This window comes from Homo sapiens, chromosome 6, assembly GCF_000001405.40.
Source record: "Homo sapiens chromosome 6, GRCh38.p14 Primary Assembly".
NCBI classification, from domain to species: Eukaryota; Metazoa; Chordata; class Mammalia; order Primates; family Hominidae; genus Homo; species Homo sapiens.
In genome coordinates, this window is record NC_000006.12 from 109,628,978 (window position 1) to 109,655,430 (window position 26,453).

A 26,453-nucleotide genomic window follows, 5' to 3' on the forward strand; every position below is an offset into this window, starting at 1 on the left:
TCTTAAAAAATTATTTTGGGGTATTTTCTAATTGCTGCATAACAAAGTACCTAAAAACTTAAGGACTTAAACAAAAATTATTATTTCAGTTTCTGAGGGTCAGAGATAACAATTTTTCATGATTTTATTTTATTTTATTTTACTTTTTTAGAGAAAAGGTCTCACCATTTTGCCCAGGCTGGCCTCAAACTCCTAGACTCAAGTGATCCTCCTGCCTCAGTCTCCCAAAGTGCTGGGGTTACAGGCATGAGCCACCATGCCAGCCGATTTTTCATTATTTTAAATGGGAAATTTATAATGCATTATACCTTGACTCAAATTCTATAATGTAACTAAAACATAAGCAAAGGCCTATTACAAGTAATAGGCAATCATGTTTGGATGCAAAATGGTTAAAACATCATTATGTGATCACCAAACAATTAATATTATTGGTGATACACATTTGTTTTCCATGCAGTAAAATGGCCTTTCTTAGGGCCAGCAACATTTGAGACTCCGTTACTGACACATGAGGAAGTTTTTCTAAACACTTACACTTGATTTTGACATTCTACTACTTGTATTTGAAATGTATCACACCATCTTTCCTGAATATTATAAATTTAAAATGTAGAATTTTCTTTTGGAGATGTAAATATAAACAGTATTTGAAAAATTTTTTTTTTTTTTTGAGACAGAGTCTGGCTCTGTCACCCAGGCTGGAGTGCAGCGGCGCGATCTCGGCTCACTGCAAGCTCCGCCTCCCGGGTTCACGCCATTCTCCTGCCTCAGCCTCCCGAGTAGCTGGGACTACAGGCGCCCGTCACCGTGCCCGGCTAATTTTTTTGTATTTTTAGTAGAGACGGGGTTTCACCGTGTTAGCCAGGATGGTCTCGATCTCCTGACCTCATGATCTACCCGCCTCGGCCTCCCAACGTGCTGGGATTACAGGCGTGAGCCACCGGGAGATATGTGTGGTCTATGATGTTTGCACATTAAAAACCAGGTGATGCTTTACAGGAAAACATTATGTGGGAATACATTTTAAGGGTATGTTTGAATTATAAGACCCTTGCACTATCTAAGAAGTATGAAAGTACCAATTTATATTGAAAGTAATATGTCAGGCATTATTTCTTGGGTGACTCTTTAAAGAAAATAATATATAACATACAAGATAATAGAGAGAAGTTTTAATTAGTTAAAAATGATATTACCTAGGATAGCATCAAAACCCATCAAATACCCAGAGGTCTGTGCAAATTTCTACACAGAAAACTCCAAATTATTACTAACATAAATTAAAGAGGGGCTAAATAAATGGCAAAATGTATCATGTTTATGGACCAGAAGAGTCAATATTGTAAAGATGTCCATTCCTCCAACTGATCTATAAATGTGATGCTATCCTAGTTAAAATCTCAAAAGATTTTTCTACATAAAATTGCAAAGGGCTAAGAATAGCCAATGCACTCATGAAAGAGAACAATAAGATAGAAGACCTTGCTCTACTTGACATCAAGATTTATTGTAAAGCTAAAATAATTAAGTCAATGTAGTATTGGCAAAATACTAATAGAATGATGAAATAGATCAGTGAGGCTCGGTATGGTGGTTCACACTTGTAATCCCAGTGCTTTGGGAGGCTGAGGCAGGAGGATCATTTGAGGCAAGGAGCTCCTGAGATCAGCCTGGACAACATAGCAAGACCCCATCTCTACAAAAAAATACAAAAATTAGCCAGGCATGGTGGTGTGCATCTGTCATCCCAGCTACTCAGGAGGCTGGGGTGGGAGGATTGCTTGAGCCCAGGAGTTAGAGGATGCAGTGAACTATGATGGTATCATTGCACTTCAGCCTGGGCAATAGAGCAAGACCTTGTCTCAAAAAGAAAAGAAAAAAAAAGAAATAGACCACTGAGCCCCAAAAGAGACACACATATGTATAAAAACATGATATAAGACAAAGGGGACAAACAGTTGATAAAGGATGATGTTTTCTTCAATGATCCTGAAACAACTGAATATCTATATGGGAAAAAGTAAAACTTACCCTGTCCTTCACATCATAAGAAAGTCAAGTCTAGGTGGATTATATATCTAAATGTGAAAGTCAAAACAATAAAACTTTTAGCAGTTAATATAGGACAATATCCTCATGATGTTTGGGCGGAAAAATTTTCTTAAGTATGACATAAAAAGCACTAATGATAACAGACAAGGTTGATAAATCATTCCTCATTGAAACAAAGAACTTCTGTTTATTAAAAGATGCCATTAGAAAAGTGAAATGGCAAACCACAGAGAGACAGAGAATAGTCCTAATGCTTATAATCAACAGATAACTTGTATATAGATAATATTAGGAACTCTTACTAATAATATACAAAAACACAACTAAAAATGGGCAAAACACTTGAGAAAACACTTCAAAAAGAGAATATTTAAATGGTCAGTAAACAGATGAAAGAGGTTCAACCTCATTAGTCATTAGGGAAATGCAAATTAAAACCACAGTGAGATACTATTATACACTCACTAAAATGGCTAGAATTAGAAAGACCGACCATAGTAAGAGTTGACAGGAATGTGGAATAACAGAACTCTCATATACTCCTGATAGTATTGTGAAATAATGGAACTACTTTGGAAAACAATTTGGCATTATCTACACAAGTTGAACATATGTCCATGTGTGCACCAAGAGACACATACAAGAATGTTTATAGTAGTGTTATTTACTCCAATCTGGAATCAATCCAAGTTTTATTAGTGCTCAAATGTGGATAAATACATTATGGTATAAGTCAATCAACAGAATACAATAAAACAATAAAAATGAATAAACTACAGCTACATTCAATAGTCTGGACAAATATCATAATTATAATGTTAAGTGAAAGAAGCCAGGCACAAAGAAGATAAATTGTTTAGGTCTATAAAATTCAAAAAAACCATGCAAAACTAGCCTATGGTATTTGGATGTATGCTTCCACGGCAAAACCATAGGAGAAGTATGGAAGTGAATGCCATAAAATTCTGGGCAGTGGTTACCTTTGTGTGGAGAGTGAGGAGACTGGTATTGAGAAGAAACATGAGAGGGCGTCTGGGTGCTGGCAACATTCCAGATTTGACCTGGTTGGTGGTTACATGGGGGTTCATTTTGCGGTAACTCAGTGGGCTTCACTTTTCTGTATGTTTGTCATGTTTCACAATGAAAAAGTTAAAAGCAAATAGAAAATGATACTCCGGCGCTTAAAAGAATGCAACAGCACTTTGAACAACTTCTAACACCTTTCTGTGGCCTGAATTGCTCTGTCTTTAGCCATGATCTTGTGCCATTCCTTCTTGCATAGGCAATCCTCAAGCCACATTGCCCCTTCTAGAATTCCTCCACATTCCAATCCCTCATCAAATCTTTCAGCTTTGTCTTCAAATTATATCCCAAATATGCTTGTTTCATACCACTTTTACTGCTATCACTCTTGTCTAAGCTAAAAATAATTTCATTTACTGAGAGTGGAGAACAAGATTACTGAGGGAGGTGTCAAGGTGTTGGGAGGATCATCTTTGTAATACTGAAATCACCAAGAATTAGGACAGGAGTGATTATATGGGGAGAGTGAGAGTGAGCCAGGAGAAGTGAAACCCAGGGGACAGAAGATGAGTAGAACCAAGAAAGCTAATAGGTGGCAGAGTCTGAATGACACGATATTCACATGTGGGAGCTTTTGGGAAGCAGGGAGGGACTCTGGTCTGGAAGCAGCAATAAACAACAAAAAGAATGCCTACCCTACCCCAAGCCCAGTGGAACAATTATTCAATTAAAACATGAAATTTTAAAAACTGAGTACAAATAAAATCCTACAAATTATAATCGAGTATAGATACATGACAGATAGACATAGATAGATAGATAGATAGATAGATAGATAGATAGATAGACAGATAGTTAGTTAGTCACCTTTCCTTTGTAATTTTCTGCAAGCATATTGCAAAGTGTTGTTTTCCCTGAATATTGAGGTCCAAGTATGAATACTTTACATGGTGGTCCTGGCATAGGTGGAAGCAGATAGGGACGTGGGTTCAACAAAAATGGTTTTAATGCTTCTTCTGATGAAAGACAGTAGATTTTACCTAGAAAACTTAAAATATGCCATATTAGTAAACAACTGAAAAGATGTATGAGGAAGATTTAAAATTAAGTTCTGAAAATCTTACTTACCTCACAGAATAATCTGGTAATCCTGAATAAATGTTACCATCTTTTAAATTCACAGGACATGTACGTCCCCATTTACTTCTTTGCCATCTGTATCTTGGTGCAATAAGTTTATAAGATGCAAGAGTACGAAATAGCTCATCCTGTGAATTGCAAATACTACATTAAAAATATGGGCATAAATTTTGCTGAAATTAGGAGCATTAAATATTTCATTTATCATTTTATAGTGCTTTACTATTTAAGAAATAATTTAAAAAGGAAATTTTGGCTTTTTTCTTAATTGCAACATCCTGCACTTGTCCTTGATTTAATAAGACAGTGTAGAACTAGTTTGAACTAGTTGAAAATTACAGGACCCTTGTTTTACAAAGAACTAGTTTACATTTATGTTAAAAAATCTTTAAATTCTACTGAGCAATTTCTATCATATGGTAAAATAAGCATAAGGTAGATAGCGCATTTTCTATCATCTTCCTTAGAAAACAGATTCTGAAAAATTCTTATTAAAAATTTTGGAAAATGTACCAGATTCTTAGCTAATTTACCTTGGCTTTCACATATACCTAAGATGTTATGTACAGATTGTTTTTGCATTTACTTAGCTATAAGCAGTTCTTTAATTCTTAAAATTTAAAGTCTCCTTCATCAGCAATCCTTTCTGTTGGTGACCTCCAGATAAGTTAAGAAATACTTTTCTACAGACTGCAAAATTCTGTAGAAAACTGCTAATTCTCAGTTGGGAACATGCTTATTTTATTTTATATTTATGCTTACTTAACCATATGATAGAAAGGTTGCTTGAAAGGTTCATCTGTCCTTGTGGTTCCTTACCAGGGGATGAGAAAACTGGTGAGAGATGGCATGGTGAGTATTATGGTTTGAATGTCCCCTCCAAAACTCAGGTTGAAATTTAATTGCCATTGTGATGGTATTAAGAGGTAGGACTGTTAAGAGGTGATTAGGTCACGAGTGCTCCGCCCTCATGAATAGATTAATGTCCTTATCTCAGGAGTGGGTAAGTTATTTTGAGAGTGGACTTATTATAAAGGCAAGTTAACCCCTCTTGCCCTGGCTCTGGCTCTTGCACTCTTTTGTTCTTCCACCTTCCACAATGGGAAACACAGCACAAAGGCCCTCACCGGATGCCAGTGCCATGCACTTGGACTTCCCAGGCTCCAAATAAACTTATTTCTGTGAACCAAATGAACTTATTTTCTTTATAAATTACCTAGTCTGCGGTATTCTGCTATAGCAAAAGAAAATGAAGAGAGTGGGCAATGGCGAGGGGAAAACTGCTCCCCCCAACCCTCAGATGTGGGTCACACATGATATATGCTTGCTTCAGAGTTGACTATGCAATGCAGATGAGATTGTGAGCTATGATCTTCCATGGACCACTGCAGCATCAGAGAACAAAGAGGCATGTGCACTGCAGGGATACTGCATGAATGTTCCCAAGTGAGAGCTGGAAGTGATAGTAAATATTAAGGAAACTGTCAATGCTTAGGAGAGTTGTATAAGACTGAGAACCTCATCCATGGAGCACATTAAGCTACAGGCCTTCTCCACAGGGTTCCTGGACAATGAGCTAGGGACTGAAACCATGCCCAGTTAGGTCAGGAGGCAGTCTCTCTTTCCTTATCATCCATATTTCCCACCCATACATGAAAAAAGTATTTGAATAGACCATAAGTATTCTCTAAAAGGTTAAGTATTTGAATAGCAGACCATGTTCCTCTCTCAACTTCATGCCCATGGGGCCACACGTTCAGCAGGTGCCGAAGGGAGAAGAGAAGATGAGCTTTTGAATGAATTTGATATTACAGGCTTAAAAATGATCAGGACTGGCTTCTGGTTAAACAAAGCAGACTGAAAACATGAATTTATGTTTGCTGCTTCCTAAAACCTCACTAAAATGACAGTAGAAGAATAAAAAAAAAAGAAATAAACTCATGAGGACGCAGAGAATGGGAGAAGAGACTAGAGGTGCTGATCAAGGCTGACAGCTCACCAGTTACAGCTACACAGTTTTGTAAGTTAGAAAGCAGATGGATGAGTGGTAACTGACTTATATCAGAGATAGGTGAAAGCTAAATATCTGTAGAGCAAAGATAGGTATGGGAGGGGTAAGAACAACAAGGAGTCAGTGGATTCACTTTGCAAAACCCTGGAAAGACATGGGACCTTGTGATACCAGGTACCTCTGAAGGGGAATGAATGGAGAGCAGAAAACAGTGTAACTGGTTGGAAATCTTTGAAAGAAGGTGCTAGTGCCAGAGCCACTCCTACTCCACTTGGTCCCCTCCCACCACTTCTCTCCCAGTGAGAAGACCAGAAGCATACTTTCTGGAGCCACTTAACCAGAGGAGCATGTGAGGGACCCCAGACACAGCCAAGGTAGCGGGGCAGGGGCAGAAGAAAGTTGGCCACTATAACCACTACCCTCAAGCTCTACTCCTACCCATCCTCTTGCTGAAGAAACTCTGGACCTTTCCATGGTCCAGCAACTAAGGGTTAATGCCTGGCAAATGTCTTCAGCACTTCTGCCAGCTCTGTTGTGATTGGGTGAATGCTCTTGCACCACAAAAACTAATTTGCCAGGGCCAGAACAAAATGAAAATTACAGGACCCTTGTTCTACAATTATTAAGAATTTCAGGACTGCAGCAGCAGAGTATTAAACTAAGCACATGGTCCTGTGTGAAGTTCATGAAGCCAACCCTGCCCCTGCAATGCAGCTGTTAAATTTTTAAAATATCACCATTGGTTCTAGGCACTTTAAAAGCATAATCTCATGTAATCTTTACAATAATACGATGCCATAGGGATTGTTGCTCCTTTTTTAATATATACCATTGAATAAAGGGCAGCAAGGTTAAGCAGAGTCACAGGTCTGATAGGCTGTACCGCTGAATTCAAATCCAGGTCTGTGTGACTCGAAAGCCAAAATTTTTACTGTGCTAGGTGCCAGTCTGACCCTGTCCTTCCTCCTACTGCACAAACCCATGCCCATGTCCTCATCTACCTGCACAGCCCCTCCTCTCCTGCAACTCAGCAGATGCTATAGCTCTCTCACTCTTCACCAGGGAGCTGGAGTCTACAGTAAGGTCTCTGTGGCTTTCCTACCCCTTTAAACCAGTGGTTCTCTTCCTGAGCTGCATAGTAGAATCTCCTAGGGAAGATTTTTGGGTTTATTTTTTGTTTTTTTAATTGTGGCAAAATACACATCCCATAAAATTTGTTTTTGTAACCACCTTTAAGCATACAATTCAGTGGTATTAAGTATATTCACTGTGTTGTGCAACCACCACCTCTATTCATTTCCAGAACTTTTCCATCATCCCAAACAGAACTCTGTACTCATGAAATAACTCTCCTTCCCCCCAGCCCCTGGTAACCTCTATCCTACATTCTGTCTCTATGAATTTGTCTATTCTGTGTATCTCGTATAAGTGGAATCATATGTTTGCCCTTTTGTATCTGCTTGTTTCACTTAGTATGTTTTCATGGATCATATTTTATCATATATAAGAATTTTACTCCTCTTTAAGGTTGAATAATATTCCATCACACACACACACACACACACACACACACACACCACATTTTATCAGTTCATCCATTGATGGACATTGGGTTATCTCCACCTTCTGGCTATTGTGAATAGAGGTGCTATAAATATTGGTGTACAAGTATCTGTTTGAGTTCCTGGTTTCAATCCTTTGGGGGAAATGCCTAGAAGTGTAATTGCTGGATAGATGAGAATTCTATGTTTAACTTTTTTAGCAACCACCAAACTATTTTAAACAGCAGCTGTACCATTTTACATCCCCACAAACAATGCAAGAGGGTTCTCATTTCTCCTCATCAACATTTGTTATTTCTCATTTTTTGAATAATAGCACCCCAATGGATATGAGATGGCATCTCATTGCAGTTTTGATTTGCATTTCCTTAATGGCTAGTGATATTGAGCATCTTTTCATGTACTTACTGGCTATTTATATATCTTCTTTAGAGAAATGTCTATTCAAATCCTTTGCCCATTTTTGAACTGGATTTTTTTACTGCTGTGGAGTTGTAGTTGTTCTTTACATATTCTGCATAGTAATCCCTATCAGATATGTGATTTTCAAATATTCTTCTCCTTTCTGTGGGTTGTCTTTTTACTCTATTGATTGATGTGTTTTCCTTTTTTTTTGTAGAGATGGGGTTTTACCATGTTGGCCAGGCTGGTCTCAAACTCCTGGCCTCAAGTGATCTGCCTGCCTCAGACTCCCAAAGTACTAGGATTACAGGCATAAGCCACCATGCCCGGCTTCTACTGATAGTGCTGATGCAGAAAAGTTTTTTTGTATTTTTCTTTTGTAGTCTCTGCCTTTGATGTCATATCCTATTTTGTTTTGTTTCACTTAATGACAGAGCCCTACCCTAGAAATTCTGTTTTAACTGGCCTGGGCATTGTAATGTTTAAAAAGCTTCCTAGATGACCCCATTTTGCAGTCAGGGCTGGGACCCACTGCTTTAAATATTTCCATTATATTGATTCTCTAAAAATCACCTGCCTTTAGCTGAAGATTATTCATCTAAAGTCCTTTAAAAACACAAGAACTTGTATATTAATCAACTTTAATTGACCAGGCTCCTTTGGTGTCCCAAGAGTTAAAGCAGTGGTTCTCAGACTTAAGTGGGCATAGGAATTTGTTCTAGATTTTGTAAAAATACATTTTCAGGTTCCATCTCCAGATAGTCTGGTTCAATCAGTCTGGGATTTGGGCCTCAGGGATTTGTGTTTGTAGTAAGCTTCCCAGGTGATTCTTTTGGAGGTGGTCTGGACTGCCAGGTAGAAATGCTGCTTAAGGGATATGAATAATGACTCCAGCATACACAGCCACATCTTCCCTTTTATGAAAAAGGAGGCAGGTTCACCTAGTCATACAGCTTATGAACTACAACCTTACACCTATGCCCCATGCATGCAATGCTTTCTAAGGACAAACTTTCTGGCTCAGAAATTTCCTGCAGGTTTTATAGATACTTTTTCTCTTTCCTTCATTGATGACCTAGAACAGGAGGCCTCAGTACTCAGTTTATTTTTCCCAGCCTCTGTTCTGACCAAGCCCACTTTTCTTCCTCTTCAGCACCAGTTCATATTGCAGGGGTCCCAGCACATATCCCAGTTATGTTGACCCACTGAGATCTTGTTATGATACAGGATAACAAAATGACCTCTTTCTTCAAAGATTTTAAAATTTGAATTATGTCTATTTATGATCCTGGCATATGTTTTTGTTTTTTATTTTATTTTTATTTTTGAGACAGGGTCTTGCTTTATCACGCAGGCTGGAGTGCAAGTGGCACAATCATGGCTCACTGCAGCCTCAACCTCTAGGCTCAGCTGATCCCCCCACCTCAGCCTCTCAAGTAGCTGGGACGATGGGCATGTGCTATCACGTCTGGTTAATTTTTTAAAAAAATTTTAATTATACTTCAAGTTCTAGGGTACATGTGCACAATGTGCAGGTTTTTTACATAGGTATACATATGCCATGGTGGTCTGATGCACCCATCAACTTGTCATTTACATTAGGTATTTCTCCTAATGCTATCCCTCCCCCAGATCCCCACCCCACGACAGGCCATGTTGTGTGATGTTCCCCGCCCTGTGTCCAAATGTTCTCATTGTTCAATTCCCACCTATGAGTGAGAACATGCAGTGTTTGGTTTTCTGTCCTTGCCATAGTTTGCTGACAATGATTGTTTCCAGTTTCATCCATGTCCCTGCAAAGGACATGAACTCATCCTTTTTTATGGCTGCATAGTATTCCATGGTGTATATGTGCCACATTTTCTTAATCCAGTCTATCATTGATGGACATTTGGGTTGGTTCCAAGTCTTTGTAATTGTGAATAGTGCTGCAATAAACATAGGCGTGCATGTGTCCTTATAGTAGCCTGATTTCTAATCCTTTGGGTATATACCCAGTAATGGGATCTCTGGGTCAAATGATATTTCTAGTTCTAGATCCCTGAGGAATCACCGCACTGTCTTCCACAATGGTTGAACTAATCTACACTCCCACCAACGGTGTAAAAGTGTTCCTATTTCTCCACATCTTCTCCAGCATCTGTTGTTTCCTGACTTTTTAAGGATTGCCATTCTAACTGGTGTGAGATGGTATCTCATTGTGGTTTTGATTTGCATTTCTCTGATGACCAGTGATGATGAGCATTTTTTCATATGTCCGTTGGCTGCATAAATGTCTTCTTTTGAGAAGTGTCAGTTCATATCCTTTGCCCACTTTTTGATGGGGTTGTTTTTTTCTTGTAAATTTGTTTAAGTTCTTTGTAGATTCTGGATATTAGCCCTTTGTCAGATGTGTAGATTGCAAAAATTTTCTCCCATTCTGTAGGTTGCCTGTTCACTCTGATGGTAGTTTCTTTTGCTGGGCAGAAGCTCTTTAGTTTAATTAGATCCTATTTGTCTACTTTGGCTTTTGTTGCCATTGCTTTTGGTGTTTTAGTCATGAAGTCCTTGCCCCTGCCTACGTCCTGAATGGTATTGCCTAGGTTTGCTTCTAGGGTTTTTACAGTTTTAGGTCTAACATTTAAGTCTTTAATCCATCTTGAACTAATTTTTGTATAAGGTGTAAGGAAGGGATCCAGTTTCAGCTTTCTACATATGGCTAGCCAGTTTTCCCAGCACCATTTATTAAATAGGGAATCCTTTCCCCATTTCTTGTTTTGGTTAGGTTTGTCAAAGATCAGATGGTTGTAGATGTGTGATGTTATTTCTGAGGCCTTTGTTCTGATCCATTGATCTTATCTCTGTTTGGGTACCAATACCATGCTGTTTTGGTTACTGTAGCCTTGTAGTATAGTTTGAAGTCAGGTAGCGTGACGCCTCCACCTTTGTTCTTTTTGCTTAGGATTGCCTTGGCAGTGTGGGCTCTTTTTTGGTTCCATATGAACCAAAACTGTGCTGCCTCACAGTTCAATCTCAGACTGCTGTGCTAGCAGTGAGCAAGGCTCCATGGGCGTGGGACCTGCCGAGCCAGGCATGCAATAGTAACTCCTGGTCTGCTGTTTGCTAAGACAGTTGGAAAAGCACAGTATTTGTGGGGAGTGTCCTGTTTTTCCCAGGTACAGTCTGTCACGGCTTCCCTTGGCTAGGAAAGGGAAATCCCCGGACCCCTTGCACTTCCTGGGTAAGGCAACACCCTGCCCTGCTTCAGCTCACCCTCCATGGGCTGCACCCACTGTCTAACCAGTCCCAATGAGATGAACCAGGTACCTCAGTTGGAAATGCAGAAATCACCCATCTTCTGCATCGATCCCGCTGGGAGCTGCAGACTGGAGCTGTTCCTATTTGGCCATCTTGGAACTCCACCCCAATTTTTTTTTTTTTTTATTTTTTGTAGGGCCAGAGTCTCGCTATGTCCCAGGCTGGTCTCAAACTCCTGGGCTCAAGTGATCCTTCCACCTCAGCCTTCCAAAGTGCTGGGATACTGTGCCCAGTCCTGGTATGCGTTTTTTAAAAATAATTTCTACTCATTTAGGTGAAACTGAGCTTCTCAGAATAGGTCAAATTCTCCAGTTAAAACTCCTTGTGGCACTTTTGGCAATTGGCAGTTATAATCTGATACCCATCACATATGTAGCACATCAGTGCCAGGAACACATTAGTTACTCAAAAAAATTGGTTGAATTATTAAAGAAATAGAGTTAAGAACTTTTAGGTCTTCACATTCTTTGGTGCTGCAAATTTTTAAACTGAACTTGGATTTCTTTCTTTTTTACTGTTCCTACATGTAATTGTTATGATTTTGTTTCAAAACTTGTGTTGTGTCTAATATCTGAAAGGATATTGTGCTAATATTACAGCTTCTTCCTAGAAATCACATCCATTTTTATAAAAGAATACAAATTAAGGCCACAACATACATATATATATGAATAAATATATATATATATATACATTTTTATATATATATAATTTTTTTTCAGATAGCATCTGGCTCTGTTGCCCAGGCTGGAGTGCAATGGCATGATCATGGCTCACTGCAGCCTTAACCTCCTGGGCTCAAGCAATCCTCCCGTCTCAGCTCCTGAGTAGCTGAGACTACAGGTGCATACCACCACACCTGGCTAATTTTTTCTTTCTTTCTTTTTTTTTTTTTTTTTTTGTAGAGATGGGTTCTGACTAGGTCATCCAGGCTGGTCTCAGACTCCTGGGCTCCAGTGATCCTCCCATGGGATTACAGGTGTGAGCCACTGCACCCTGCCCACAACATATATTGAAAATTAGACTTTCAGACAGTTCCATATAACTTACATTTTCCATTGTGTCATTAATTTCTTCCTCTGCACCCTGAAGTTTGGTTAGAATAGCTGCTCTTTTTAGGTTCAGATATTTAAGTCGATCCATAACAATCTAGATTTAAAGAACAGATATTTAACTACATTGGCATCTGAATATCTCAAATACTCTGAAACAGTGGTGGGCTTATGAGCCAAGACCATGCTCCCCCTGACTCTGGGTCGAATCCTTGCTTGCTTCTTCTGGCTTCTGGCTGTTTGCTGACAATCCTTGGTATGTCTTGGCTTGCATCACTCCAATCTCTGCCTCTGTTGTCACAGAAACATCTTCTCCCTGTGTGTCTGAGTCTCTTCTCCTAATCTATAGGCAAAGACCTTATTTCCAAATAAGGTCACATTCATAGGTATTGGACTTCAGGGCCTCAACATATCTTTTTGAGGGACACATTTCAACTCATAACAGTCTGCCCTCTGGTCCCCAGATATTCATGTCCTTAGAGGTCTTGGTCTCTGGGACCTCTTCAGGCAAAGGGATGATTGCCATGTGAAGATGGAGGCAGATATTGGAGTTTTGCTGCCATAAGTCAAGAAATGCCGGGAGCTACCAGAAGCTGGAAGAAACAAAAATAGAGCCTCCCCAAGAGACTTTGGAAGGAGCATGGCACTGCCAACACCTTGATTTTGGACTTTTAGCCTCCAGAACTGTGAGAGAATAAATATCTGTCATTTTAAGCTACCAGTTTGTGGCACTTTGTTATGGCAACCCCAGGAAATTTGTGCAGACACTACATGGAAGAATCTGGAAAAATAAAAGAGGCCAGCACACAGATCATGAGATGGGAGATAGTGAGATAGCCAAAATCCTGATGGTGTGTGGTAGCCTGTGACAGACTGTGTTACAATGCAACCTTCACTGATTAATTCCCTAGTTCATTCTGGGTGGAGTACACTTCCTTATTCCACTAATGTCAAGCTTCTCCATGTAGCCTGCTCTGCCAATGGAACGTGGGTGGAAGTGCAGAGTACCAGTTCCCATGGGCACCTTCACAGGTTTGGCAAGTTCCAGCCAGGCCCCTTGGAGCTTCTGCCCTCTACCTTGAGGAAAGTGTGTCCCAGGTAGTAAAAAGTGGTAGAATTCTGGCCATATTTTGAAGGAGAAGCCTGCTGTATATGCTGGTGAATGGGATGTGGGATGTGAGAAAAAAAAAGTCAAGGAGGGCAGCTGGCTGGGTGGTTTTTGCATTTACTGAAAAAGGAGAACGGTGGGAGAAGCACATTGGGGGCAGGGTGGTGGTGGTGAAGTTCTATCTTGCACACTTAAATCTGAAATGACTAGCAGACATCCAATTGGAAAAACAGCAGTTGAGCAGCCATTAAGTATACAAGTGTGGAATTCAGGGGAAAGATCTGATACAGCATCATGAATTTAAGAGATGTCAGTGGTTAGAAGATATCTAAAGCTACTGACTGAATGAAATCTCTTAAGGAGTGAGGGTAAACAGAGAAGGGCTCATGCCTTGTGAACTCTGGGGTCCTGCAACACTGCAGGTTAGCGAATTAGAGTGTGAAGTGAGGTGTAATGGAACTACTGTGGTGTGGGGTCCAAGAAGCCAAGGGAAGAAGGGTGCAGAAAAAAAGAAGTGATCTGTTGTGTCAAATGCTGCTTCTATTATAGATTGAATTAGATGAAGACTGAAAAATGAGCAGTGACTTTGGTCATGAGATCACAGGTGATCTTGGCAAGAGCATGTCCCAAGTGAGGAGCTTCTCCCTGAGGTGGCTCCACCACTAGCATGCACTGTTACCATGCTGCCACCAGTCATATCAAGCCAGAAATCTGGGCATTATATTTGACTTTTCTCTCTCCCTTAATTCCCATATTAAGTTACTCACCAAGTCCTGTCAAGTAGATTTCTTAAATGTCTCTCAGATCTGTCCTTTTCTGTCCATTCCTGTGTTCACTACCCTAGGTTAGGCCACTATCTCATACCTGATCAATGGCAAAAGCCAAAACTAGTTTTCCTACCACCAATTTGATTCTCCTTTAGTTTTTTTCCTTGCTTGGAACGGAGTGATCTTTCTTAAACAGAAATAGGATCATCTGTACTTTCTGGCTTAAAACCTTTCACTGGATGCCTATTCCCTCATGTTGAGGTCCAAACTCCTTACTATGGTTTACAAGGTCTTTCTTGGTGCAATCCCTTCTTATTTCTAGTCTTGGCTCTATTCCACCCCTCCAGCCCCATCCTCCTACGTTCCAGTCCTATATTCAGTACCTGCAAACCACTATGCTCTTTCTGGCCTCTGGGTCCTTGACACAGACTCTTCCCTCAGCATGGAACACTGTCTCACTTCCCTCACCTCCCCTTGTCTTCAAGGTCTAGTTCTTACTGGTCCTTTAAGTTTCTATTTAAACATAGTTTCAGACTGGTGGTCCTCCTTACCAGACTAGGTTTTGTCTTTATGCTATGAACTGCTGTAATACCATGCATGTGTATCCCTGACTGTAACACAAACTGCTCTCTAGAGATTTATTTTCCCCAACATATTGGATACTGCATGAGCAGAGATGTGTGGACCCTTCTGCCTCCTTCCTATCTTTATCCCTAGAGCCCATTATAATGCCAGACACTTATTTGACATTTAAGAGATAGTTACTATATTTTTGTATTATTGAATTATTTTTGTAAAACATTTTTGGGTTCCAATTTCTCCACATCCTCACCAACACTTTTTATTATTTGTTTTATGTTTGTTTGTTTTTACTTTGGTCATCCTAGAAGGTAAAAGGGGGTTCCCCATTGTGGTTTTGACCTGCCTTTCCCTAATGACTAATGATGTTCAGCATCTTCTCATGTGCTTTTGGTTACCATTGCTTTTACTTTTCTTTGAGACGCCTTTTGAAAGAGATTTTAAATTCGAATGTAGTTTTGATTTTAAAATGGACAGATGAATAAACAGAACATCAAAATTTTAAGTGTTAAGACAGATTGTTCAAAGATAAATGGTGTTCAAATATAAATATGCTTCTGTTTATTAAAAGAAGTACAATACTGTCAATAGATTTAAATTTTCCATGCTGTGAAGTATTCCTGCTTAACACTGCACTCACCATAAAGAGCTCCTCTGCTGGTTTATTTCCATTTAGCTCAATGAGATACTGGGGATTGTGTTCAGCCATTACTTCCTGCAGATAATAGAAAAGAAACTTTATAATACAGGATCACTAGAAAAACTGAATACAAGATCAGAATCTTAATATACTGTGCAGATATATTTAAAGTAAATTGTTTGCCTTATACATGCTATAATGTATGTTATTTTCAATGCTCAAGAGATCTTTTGCAAAAGCTCAAACTAATCTTCTCACCATGAATTTTATTTTCCTGTTTAAAAAAATCTTTTTTCTCTACTTTGATGCCTTAATGTTTTTTCCAATACAAAATGTTTTGGGGCATCTATCTGCATATGTTCATAGCTTTGCTATTTGGTTTCTAAACCATGGAAGCATCTGATTAAACTTTAAGTCACAGACTTTCTTCACATAGATACTAGCATCATTTAGAAGATACAACGTATTTTGATCGTTCCAAGATGGCCAAATAGGAACAGTTCCGGTCTACAGCTCCCAGCGTGATCGATGCAGAAGATGGGTGATTTCTGCATTTCCAACTGAGGTACTTGGTTCATCTCAATGGGACTGGTTGGACAGTGGGTGCAGCCCATGGAGGGCGAGCCGAAGCAGGGCAGGGCATCACTTCACCTGGGAAGCACAAGGGGTGGGGGGATTTCGCTTTCCTAGCCAAGGGAAAGTGTTTCCAAGGGTACCTGGAAAATCGGGACACTCCTGCCCTAATACTGCGCTTTTCCAACAGTCTTAGCAAATGGCACACCAGGAGATTATATGCTGCGCCTGGCTCAGAGCACCCCATGCCCACAGAGCCTTGCTCACTGCTAGCACAGCAGTCCAAGATCCAACTGCGAGGCAGCAGCCAGGCTGGGCGAGGGGCATCCGCCATTGCTGAGGCTTGACTAGGTAAACAAAGCAGCCAGAAGCTCAAACTGGGTGGAGCCCACCACAGCTCAACGAGGCCTGCCTGCCTCTGTAGACTCCACCTCTGGGGGCAGGGCATAGCTGAACAAAAGGCAGCAGAAACTTGTGCAGACTTAAACGTCCCTGTCTGACAGCTTTGAAGACAGCAGTGGTTCTCCCAGCACAGAGTTTGAGCTCTGAGAATGGAGAGACTGCCTCCTCAAGTGGGTCTCTGACCCTTGAGTAGCCTAACTTGGAGACACCTCCCAGTAGGGGCTCACTGACACCTCATACAGCCAAGAGCTCCTCTGAGATGAAGCTTCCAGAGGAAGGATCAGGCAGCAACATTTGCTGTTCTGCAATATTTGATGTTCTGTTCTACAGCGTTCGCTGGTGATACCCAGGCAAACAGGGTATCCATAGAGTGGACCTCCAGCAAACTCCAACAGACCTGCAGCTGAGGGTCCTAACTGTTAGAAGGAAAACTAACAAACAGAAAACAGTAGCATCAACATCAACAAAAAGGACATCGACACCAAAACCCCATCTGTAAGTCACCATCATCAAAGACCAAAGGTAGATAAAATCACAAAGATGGGGAGAAACCAGAGCAGAACAGCTGAAAATTCTAAAAACCAGAGTGCCTCTAATCCTCCAAAGGATTGCAGCCCCTCACCAGCAATGGAAGAAAGCTGGACGGAGAATGACTTTGACAAGTTGACAGAAGTAGGCTTCAGAAGGTCGGTAATAACAAACTTCTCTGAGCTAAAGGAGGATGTTTGAACCCATTGCAAGGAAGGTAAAAACCTTGAAAAAAGGTTAGACGAATGGCTAACTAGAATAAACAGGGTAGACAAGACCTTAAATGACATGATGGAGCTGAAAACCATGGCATGAGAACTACGTGATGCATGCACAAGCTTCAGTAGCTGATTCAATCAAGTGGAAGAAAGGGTACCAGTGATTGAAGATCAAATGAATGAAATGAAGCAAGAAGTTTAGAAAAAAAAGAGTAAAAAGAAATGAAAGAGCCTCCAAGAAATATGGGACTATGTGAAAAGACCAAACCTAAGTTTGATTGGTGTACCTGAAAGTGACAGGGAGAACAGACCTAAGTTGGAAAACACTCTTCAGGATATTATCCAGGAAAACTTCCCCAACCTAGCAAGGCAGGCCAACATTCAAATTCAGGAAATACAGAGAACGCTACAAAGATACTCCTTGAGAAGAGCAACCCCAAGACACATAATTGTCAGATTCACCAAGGTTAAAATGAAGGAAAAAATGTTAAGGGCAGCCAGAGAGAAAGGTTGGGTTACCCACAAAGAGAAGCCCATCAGACTAACAGTGGATCTCTTGGCAGAAACTCCACAAGCCAGAAGAGAGTGGGGGCCAATATTCAACATTCTTAAAGAAAATAATTTTCAACCCAGAATTTCATATCCAGCCAAACTAAGCTTCATAACTGAAGGAGAAATAAAATCCTTTACAGACAAGCAAATGCTGAGAGATTTTGTCACCACCAGGCCCGCCTTACAAGAGCTCCTGAGGAAACACTAAGCATGGAAAGGAACAACCAGTAACAGTCACTGAAAAAACATGCCAAGTTGTAAAGAGCATCAAGGCTAGGAAGAAACTGCATCAGCTAACGAGCAAAATAACCAGCTAACATCATAATGACAGGATCAAATTCACAAATAACAATATTAACTTTAAATGTAAATGGGCTAAATGCTCCAATTAAAAGACACAGATTGGCAAATTGGATAAAGAGTCAAGACCCATCAGTGTGCTGTATTCAGGAGACCCATCTCACGTGCAGAGACACACATAGGCTCAAAATAAAGGGATGGAGGAAGATCTACCAAGAAAATGGAAAACAAAAAAAGGCAGGGGTTGCAATCCTAGTCTCTGATAAAACAGACTTGAAACCAACAAAGATCAAAAGAGACAAGGAAGGCCATTACATAATGGTAAAGGGATCAGTTCAACAATAAGAGCTAACTATTCTAAATATATATGCACCCAATACAGGAGCACCCAGATTCATAAAGCAAGTCCTTAGTGACTTACAAAGAAACTTAGACTCCCACACAATAATAATGGGAGACTTTAACACCCCACTGTCAACATTAGACAGATCAACGAGACAGAAAGTTAACAAGGATACCCAGGAATTGAACTCAGCTCTGCAACAAGCAGATCTAATAGACATCTACAGAACTCTCCACCCCAAATCAACAGAATATACATTCTTCTCAGCACCACACCACACCTACTCCAAAACTGACCACATAGTTGGAAGTAAAGAACTCCTCAGCAAATGTAAAAGAACAGAAATTATAACAAACTGTCTCTCAGACCACAGTGCAATCAAACTAGAACTCAGGATTAAGAAACTCACTCAAAACCGCTCAACTACATGGAAACTGAACAACCTGCTCCTGAATGACTACTGGGTACATAATGAAATGAAGGCAGAAATAAAGATGTTCTTTGAAACCAACGAGAACAAAGACACAACATACCAGAATCTCTGGGACACATTCAAAGCAGTGAGTAGAGGGAAATTTATAGCACTAAATGCCCACAAGAGAAAGCAGGCAAGATCTAAAATTGACACCCTAACATCACAATTAAAAGAACTAGAAAAGCAAGAGCAAACACATTGAAAAGCTAGCAGAAGGTAAGACATAACTAAGATCAGAGCAGAACTGAAGGAAATAGAGACACAAAAAAATCCTTCAAAAAATCAATGAATCCAGGAGCTAGTTTTTTGAAAAGATCAACAAAATTGATAGAACGCTAGCAAGACTAATAAAGAAGAAAAGAGAGAAGAATCAAATAGACACAATAAAAAATGATAAAGGGGATATCACCACCAATCCCACAGAAATAGAAACTATCATAAGAGAATACTATAAATACCTCTACACAAATAAACTAGAAAATCTAGAAGAAATAGATAAATTCCTCGACACATACACCCTCCCAAGACTAAACCAGGAAGAAGTTGAATCTCTGAATAGACCAATAACAGGCTCTGAAATTGACGCAATAATCAATAGCTTACCAAACAAAAAGAGTCCAGGACCAGATGGATTCACAGCCAAATTCTACCAAAGGTACAAAGAGGAGCTGGTACCATTCCTTCTGAAACTATTCCAATCAATAGAAAAAGAGGGAATCCTCCCTAATTCATTTTATGAGGTCAGCATCATCCTGATACCAAAGACTGGCAGAGACACAACCAAAAAAGAGAATTTTAGACCAATATCCTTGATGAACATCGATGCAAAAATCCTCAATAAAATACTGGCAAACCGAATCCAGCAGCACATCAAAAAGTTTATCCACCATGATCAAGTGGGCTTCATCCCTGGGATGCAAGGCTGGTACAATATATGCAAATCAATAAATGTAATCCAACATATAAACAGAACCAAAGACAAAAACCACATGATTATCTCAACAGATGCAGAAAAGGCCTTTGACAAAATTCAACAACCGTTCATGCTAAAAACTCTCAATAAATTAGTTATTGATGGGACATATCTCAAAATAATAAGAGTTATCTATGACAAACCCACAGCGAATATCATACTGAATGGACACAAACTGGAAGCATTCCCTTTGAAAACTGGCACAAGACAGGGATGCCCTCTCTCACCACTCCTATTCAACATAGTGTTGGAAGTTCTGGCCAGGGCAATCAGGCAGGAGAAGGAAATAAAGGGTATTCAATTAGGAAAAGAGGAAGTCAAATTGTCCCTGTTTGCAGATGACATGATTGCATATCTAGAAAACCCCATCGTCTCAGCCCAAAATCTCCTCAAGCTGATAAGCAACTTCAGCAAAGTCTCAGGATACAAAATCAATGTATAAAAATCACAAGCATTCTTATACACCAATAACAGAGAGCCAAATCATGAGTGAACTCCCATTCACAATTGCTTCGAAGAGAATAAAATACCTAGGAATCCAACTTACAAGGGATGTGAAGGACCTCTTCAAGGAGAACTACAAACCACTGCTCAATGAAATAAAAGAGGACACAAACAAATGGAAGAACATTCCATGCTCATGGGTAGGAACAATCAATATCGTGAAAATGGCCATACTGCCCAAGGTAATTTATAGATTCAATGCCATCCCCATCAAGCTACCAATGACTTTCTTCACAGAATTGGAAAAAACTACTTTAAAGTTCATATGGAACCAAAAAAGAGCTGGCATCGCCAAGGCAATCCTAAGCCAAAAGAACAAAGCTGGAGGCATCACGCTACCTGACTTCAAACTATACTACAAGGCTACAGTAACCAAAACAGTGTGGTACTGGTACCAAAACAGAGATATAGACCAATGGAACAGAACAGAGGCCTCAGAAATAATGCCGCAGATCTACAACTATCTGATCTTTGACAAATCTGACAAAAACAAGCAATGGGGAAAGGATTCCCTATTTAATAAATGGTGCTGGGAAAACTGGCTAGCCATATGTAGAAAGCTGAAACTGGATCTCTTCCTTACACCTCATACAAAAATTAATTCAAGATGCATTAAAGACTTAAATGTTAGACCTAAAACCATAAAAAACCTAGAAGAAAACCTAGGCAATACCATTCAGGACAGAGGCATGGGCAAGGACTTCATGTCTAAAACACCAAAAGCAATGGCAACAAAAGCCAAAATTGACAAATGGAATCTAATTAAACTAAAGAGCTTCTGCACAGCAAAAGAAACTACCATCAGAGTGAACAGGCAACCTACAGAATGGGAGAAAATTTTTGCAACCTACTCATCTGACAATGGGCCAATATCCAGAATCTACAAAGAACTCAAATAAATTTACAAGAAAAAAAAACCCCATCAAAAAGTGGGCAAAGGATATGAACAGACACTTCTCAAAAGAAGACATTTCTGCAGCCAACAGACACATGAAAAAATGATCATCATCACTGGCCGTCCAAGAAATGCAAATCAAAACCACAATGAGATACCATCTCACACCAGTTAGAATGGCGATCATTAAAAAGTCAGGAAACAACAGGTGATGGAGAGGATGTGGAGAAATAGGAACACTTTTACACTGTTGGTGGGACTGTAAACTAGTTCAACCATTGTGAAAGTCAGTGTTGTGATTCCTCAGGGATCTAGAACTGGAAATACCATTTGACCCAGCCATCCCATTACTGGGTATATACCGAAAGGATTATAAATCATGCTGCTATAAAGACACATGCAAACGTATGTTTATAGTGGCACTATTCACAATAGCAAAGACTTGGAACCAACCCAAATGTCGAACAACGACAGACTGGATTAAGAAAATGTGGCACACATACACCATGGAATACTACGCAGCCATAAAAAATGATGAGTTCATGTCCTTTGTAGGGACATGGATGAAACTGGAAACCATCATTCTCAGCAAACTATCGCAAGGACAAAAAACCAAACACTGCATGTTCTCACTCATAGGTGGGAATTGAACAATGACAACACATGGACACAGGAATGGGAACATCACACACCGGGGACTGTTGTGGGGTGGGGGTAGTGGGGAGGGATAGCATTAGGAGATATACCTAATGCTAAGTGATGAGTTAATGGGTGCAGCACACCAACATGGCACATGTATACATATGTAACAAACCTGCACGTTGTGCACATGTACCCTAAAACTTAAAGAATAATAATAATACAATTAAAAGAAAAAAAAAAGAAACTCACTAAAAGCCGCAGAACTACATGGAAACTGAACAACCTGCTTCTGAATGACTACTGGGTACATAACGAAATGAAGGCAGAAATAAAGATGTTCTTTGAAACCAATGAGAACAAAGACACAACATACCAGAATCTCTGGGACATATTCAAAGCAGTGTTTAGAGGGAAATTTATAGCACTAAATGCCCACAAGAGAAAGCAGGAACGATCTAAAATCGACAACCTAACATCACAATGAAAAGAACTAGAGAAGCAAGAGCAAACAAATTCAAAAGCTAGCAGAAGGCAAGAAATAACTAAGATCAGAGCAGAACTGAAGGAGACAGAGACACATAAAACTCTTCAAAAAAATCAATGAATCCAGAAGCTGGTTTTTTGAAAAGATCAACAAAATTGATAGACCACTAACAAGACTAATAAAGAAGAAAAGAGAGAAAAATCAAATAGATGCAATAAAAAATGATAAAGGGGATATCACCACCGATCCCACAGAAATGCAAACTACCATCAGAGAATACTATAAATACTAGAAAATTTAGAAGAAATGGATAAATTCCTGGACATATACACCCTCCCAAGACTAAACCAGGAAGAAGCTGAATTCCTGAATAGATCAATAACAGGCTCTGAAATTGAGGCAATAATTAATAGCCTACCAACCAAAAAAAGTCCAGGACCTGACGGATTCACAGCCAAACTCTACCAGAGGTACAAAGAGGAGCTGGTACCATTCCTTCTGAAATTATTCCAATCAATAGAAAAAGAGGGAATCCTCCCTAACTCATTTTATGAGGCCAGCATCATCCTGATACCAAAGCCTGTCAGAGAAACAACAAAAAAAGAGAATTTTAGACCAAGATCCCTGATGAACATCGATGCAAAAATCCTCAATAAAATACTGGCAAACTGAATCCAACAGCACATCAAAAAGCTTATCCACCACGATCAAGTTGGCTTCATCCCTGGGATGCAAGGCTGGTTCAACATACGCAAATGAATAAATGTAATCCATCATATAAACAGAACCAAAGACAAAAACCACATGATTATCTCAATAGATGCAGAAAAGGCCTTCAAAAAAATTCAACAGCCTTCATGCTGAAAACTCTCAATAAACTAGGTATTGATGGGATGCATCTCAAAATAATAAGAGCTATTTATGACAAACCCACAGCTCAGGAGTTTGAGATCATAATGGAGCTTACTTTTTCACTTAACATTATAACTAAACTTCCCCTACACTTTTTATAAGATCACTGTCAATGTAACATTTTAATGGTTTTATAAGATTATGTACTGTGGATATAGCATAATTTATTTCATATTCTTCTGCTGTTTGACATTTAGGTATGTTACAATACTTTATTAGTTATTTTCAAGCATTTCTTTTTATGAAAGTTTTAAAAATTACTTTCTTCTTTAATAATTACAAAAATAACTTGTACTAACTGCAACCAGTGAAGGAATGCAAAAAAGTACATAGAAACAGTTAACACGACTTCTCCCTGCTCCTCCATGCTGCCCGCACAACACAGTGCGTCTTTTTATACAACCATTCACCTCATTGATATAAATATATGCACACATATAAATGTTCAGTAACACAGAATATCCTTTGGTATATCCTGATATATTGGATATATGGGCCAGATTTGTAAAAGTAGGTGTTTTTTTTTTGTTTTTGAGACGGAGTTTCACTGTCACCCAGGCTGGACTGCATGGCATGATCTTGGCTCACTGCAACCTCCACCCACTGGGTTCAAGTGAGTCTCCTGCCTCAGCCTCCTGAGTAGCTGGGATTATAGGTGCCTGCCACCATGCCTGGCTGATTTTTGTATTTTTAGTAGAGAGGCGGTTTCACCATGGTGGCCAGGCTGGTCTCAAACTCCTGACTTCAGGTGATCCACCCGTCTCCGCCTCCCAAAGTACTGGGATTACAGGCATGAGACAACACGCCTGGCAAAAGTAGGTTTTAATATTAATACAGGTAGGTATAGCCAGTTGTTTTTCCAAAGGTGGTGGCAATTCAAAGCCCTAACCCGCAATGTATGAGAAGGTTCATTTCTTCTTGCCACCACTGGCTATCTTAGCTTTTAAATTTCTGCCAAACTGAGTTAAAAAACGGAATCAGTTTATTTTACTTTTTATTCCTGTGGTGAGGTTCAGCATTCAGATATGCATCTCTGTAAACTGCCTTATCATAGCCTCTACGCATTTTTCTTTTGGATTGTTTCCTTTCTCTGACATTCACGGAAAGTTTTTAACCCTTATCTGGCATGTGGATTGCAAACATTTTTCCTTTCTATGATTTATCTTTTGAATGTATTTATGGCGTCTTCAGCAAGATAAAATATTTTTATAATCAAATATATATTTTCATTACTTGTAGATTTCCTTTCTTGTTTAGATTTTTTTTTTTTTCTCTCTCTTTCTTTTTTGTAGAGACAGGGTTTCACCATGTTTTTTGCCATGTGGCACAGGCTGGTCTTGAACTCTTGGGCTCAAGTGATCTGCCCACCTTGGCCTCTCAAAGTGTTGGGATTACAGGCATGAGCCAGCACACCTGGCCTAAATTAGATTTTCTTTATCTCAAGATTATATTAATATTCTTCTAAGTTTTCTTCTACTATTTGTTTTTATTTTTAATACAAAATCCAATATCTACTGGATTTTATTTGTGTACAACAACAATGTTGAACTCTGAGCCCTGTGTTCCTGGAAAGCAGGGATGGCTGAGAAGACCCACCTCCATCCTTCCTCAAGGACTCAGATAAAGTCTGTCTCCATCTTTTCTCATGACTCAAGGATGGCTCCCTTGTTTACCTGCTTCCATAAAACCCAGCTCTCTTCCATTGCTTTTAGAAGGTCTTTATTAATGAACATTCTCCTTATTGCAAGTTTGAACAAAATCATCTCTTTATCCAGTGTATTTTGTTTTCACAATATTGTATGAGGTTAGATTCTAGGTGTTTTCCTCTAGACCGACAACAGATTATATCAGCATTATTCACTTACCAATAAATAATCATGTTTTGAACAAGGCATCACATCGCATTGTTTTATATATAATATATATATTTTTTTTCTTTTTTGAGACGGAGTCTTGCTCTGTCATCCAGGTTGGAGGCACAATCTCAGCTCACCGCAACCTCTGTCTCCTGGGTTCAAGTGATTCTCCTGCCTCAGCCTCCCAAGTAGCTGGGATTACAGGTGTGCACCACCATGCCCGGCTGTTTTTTGGATTTTAGTAGAGATGGGGTTTCACCATGTTGCCCAGGCTGGTCTCGAACTCCTGAGCTCAGGCAATCCACCCACCTTGGCCTCCCAAAGAGCTAGGATTACAGGCATGAGCCACCGCGCCCTGCCTGTTCTATATTTTTTACTGTTTCCTTAAGCTAGATTCAATCTTAAGAGTGAACTACTAAGTTGGAGAGTATCAACACTCTTAAGGAAATGGATACCTGCACCAGGAGTTGAGTTGGGATTCAAAGACAGGCCAAAATGGGAACATGGTGTTGGCTTAGCCCTGAAGCAGTTTGCAGAATGTATACCAGAAAGTGATGCAGCTCAGTTTGCTCCTGCTTGCTTTCCTTGTATCTCTTGGAGACACACTGAACTTTAGTGGTCTTGGTCTAAAAGTGAAGTAACATCTCAGCCAGGTCAGAGAAGACTAGAATTGTAGGGTCTTACCCTTTATGGGTCTCCTCCCTCAACATATAAGGCAATTGCTTGGCTATTCAGCAAGTGTCATCTAGGCCTAAAGTCTAGGTTCTTGGCTTTGAAATACTGCTTTGTTGCACTAGGGCAATGAATTCTTATCTATATTTTGCTGCAGGGCCTAGAAGTTTTCTACTTCTGGGTGTTTTTGTGGACAACCTGTCAAAGGATGGCCATACAAATTCATATTTGGGGTATAAGAGTTCTTTACCATATCCTTGCTAGCATCAGGAATTCTTACTACCTGTTCATCTTTTAAATTTTCATCATGGAAATGATATTTCATTACTTAGATTAGCATTTCTTTATTATCAGTGAAGCTGAACATTTTTTCTACAGGCTTATCATTCTTCATTTTTGTTAATTGCTCATATTTGTTGTCCATTTATCTCAAGACAGAGTGAACTTACAGGTTTTTAAAAAATCATTTCTATGACCTTTTAATATAT

The 26,453-nt window shown here is 39.6% G+C and overlaps 1 protein-coding gene across 23 annotated transcripts in view; it reads right to left on the reverse strand.

Annotated features, from left to right (window-relative positions):
• AK9 (adenylate kinase 9) overlaps positions 1–26,453 on the reverse strand; it is a 198,348-nt gene that overhangs the window by 136,123 nt on the left and 35,772 nt on the right. For 14 of the 23 annotated variants that reach the window (XR_942337.3, NM_001145128.3, XM_011535552.3 and 11 more), the window contains 4 exons: positions 15,637–15,711; positions 12,541–12,639; positions 4,207–4,346; positions 3,946–4,126 (listed from right to left, as the gene is read on the reverse strand). Coding sequence is in view for 21 of the 23 variants with exons in the window: in NM_001145128.3 (NP_001138600.2) it covers positions 3,946–4,126; positions 4,207–4,346; positions 12,541–12,639; positions 15,637–15,711 (495 nt within the window). In the remaining 2 variants the exon portion in view is untranslated. Of the gene's footprint in view, positions 1–2,718; positions 4,127–4,206; positions 4,347–12,540; positions 12,640–15,636; positions 15,712–26,453 lie in introns of those variants that run through there. The other 9 variants (NR_138057.2, NM_145025.5, NM_001329602.2 and 6 more) reach the window with 3 other exon arrangements.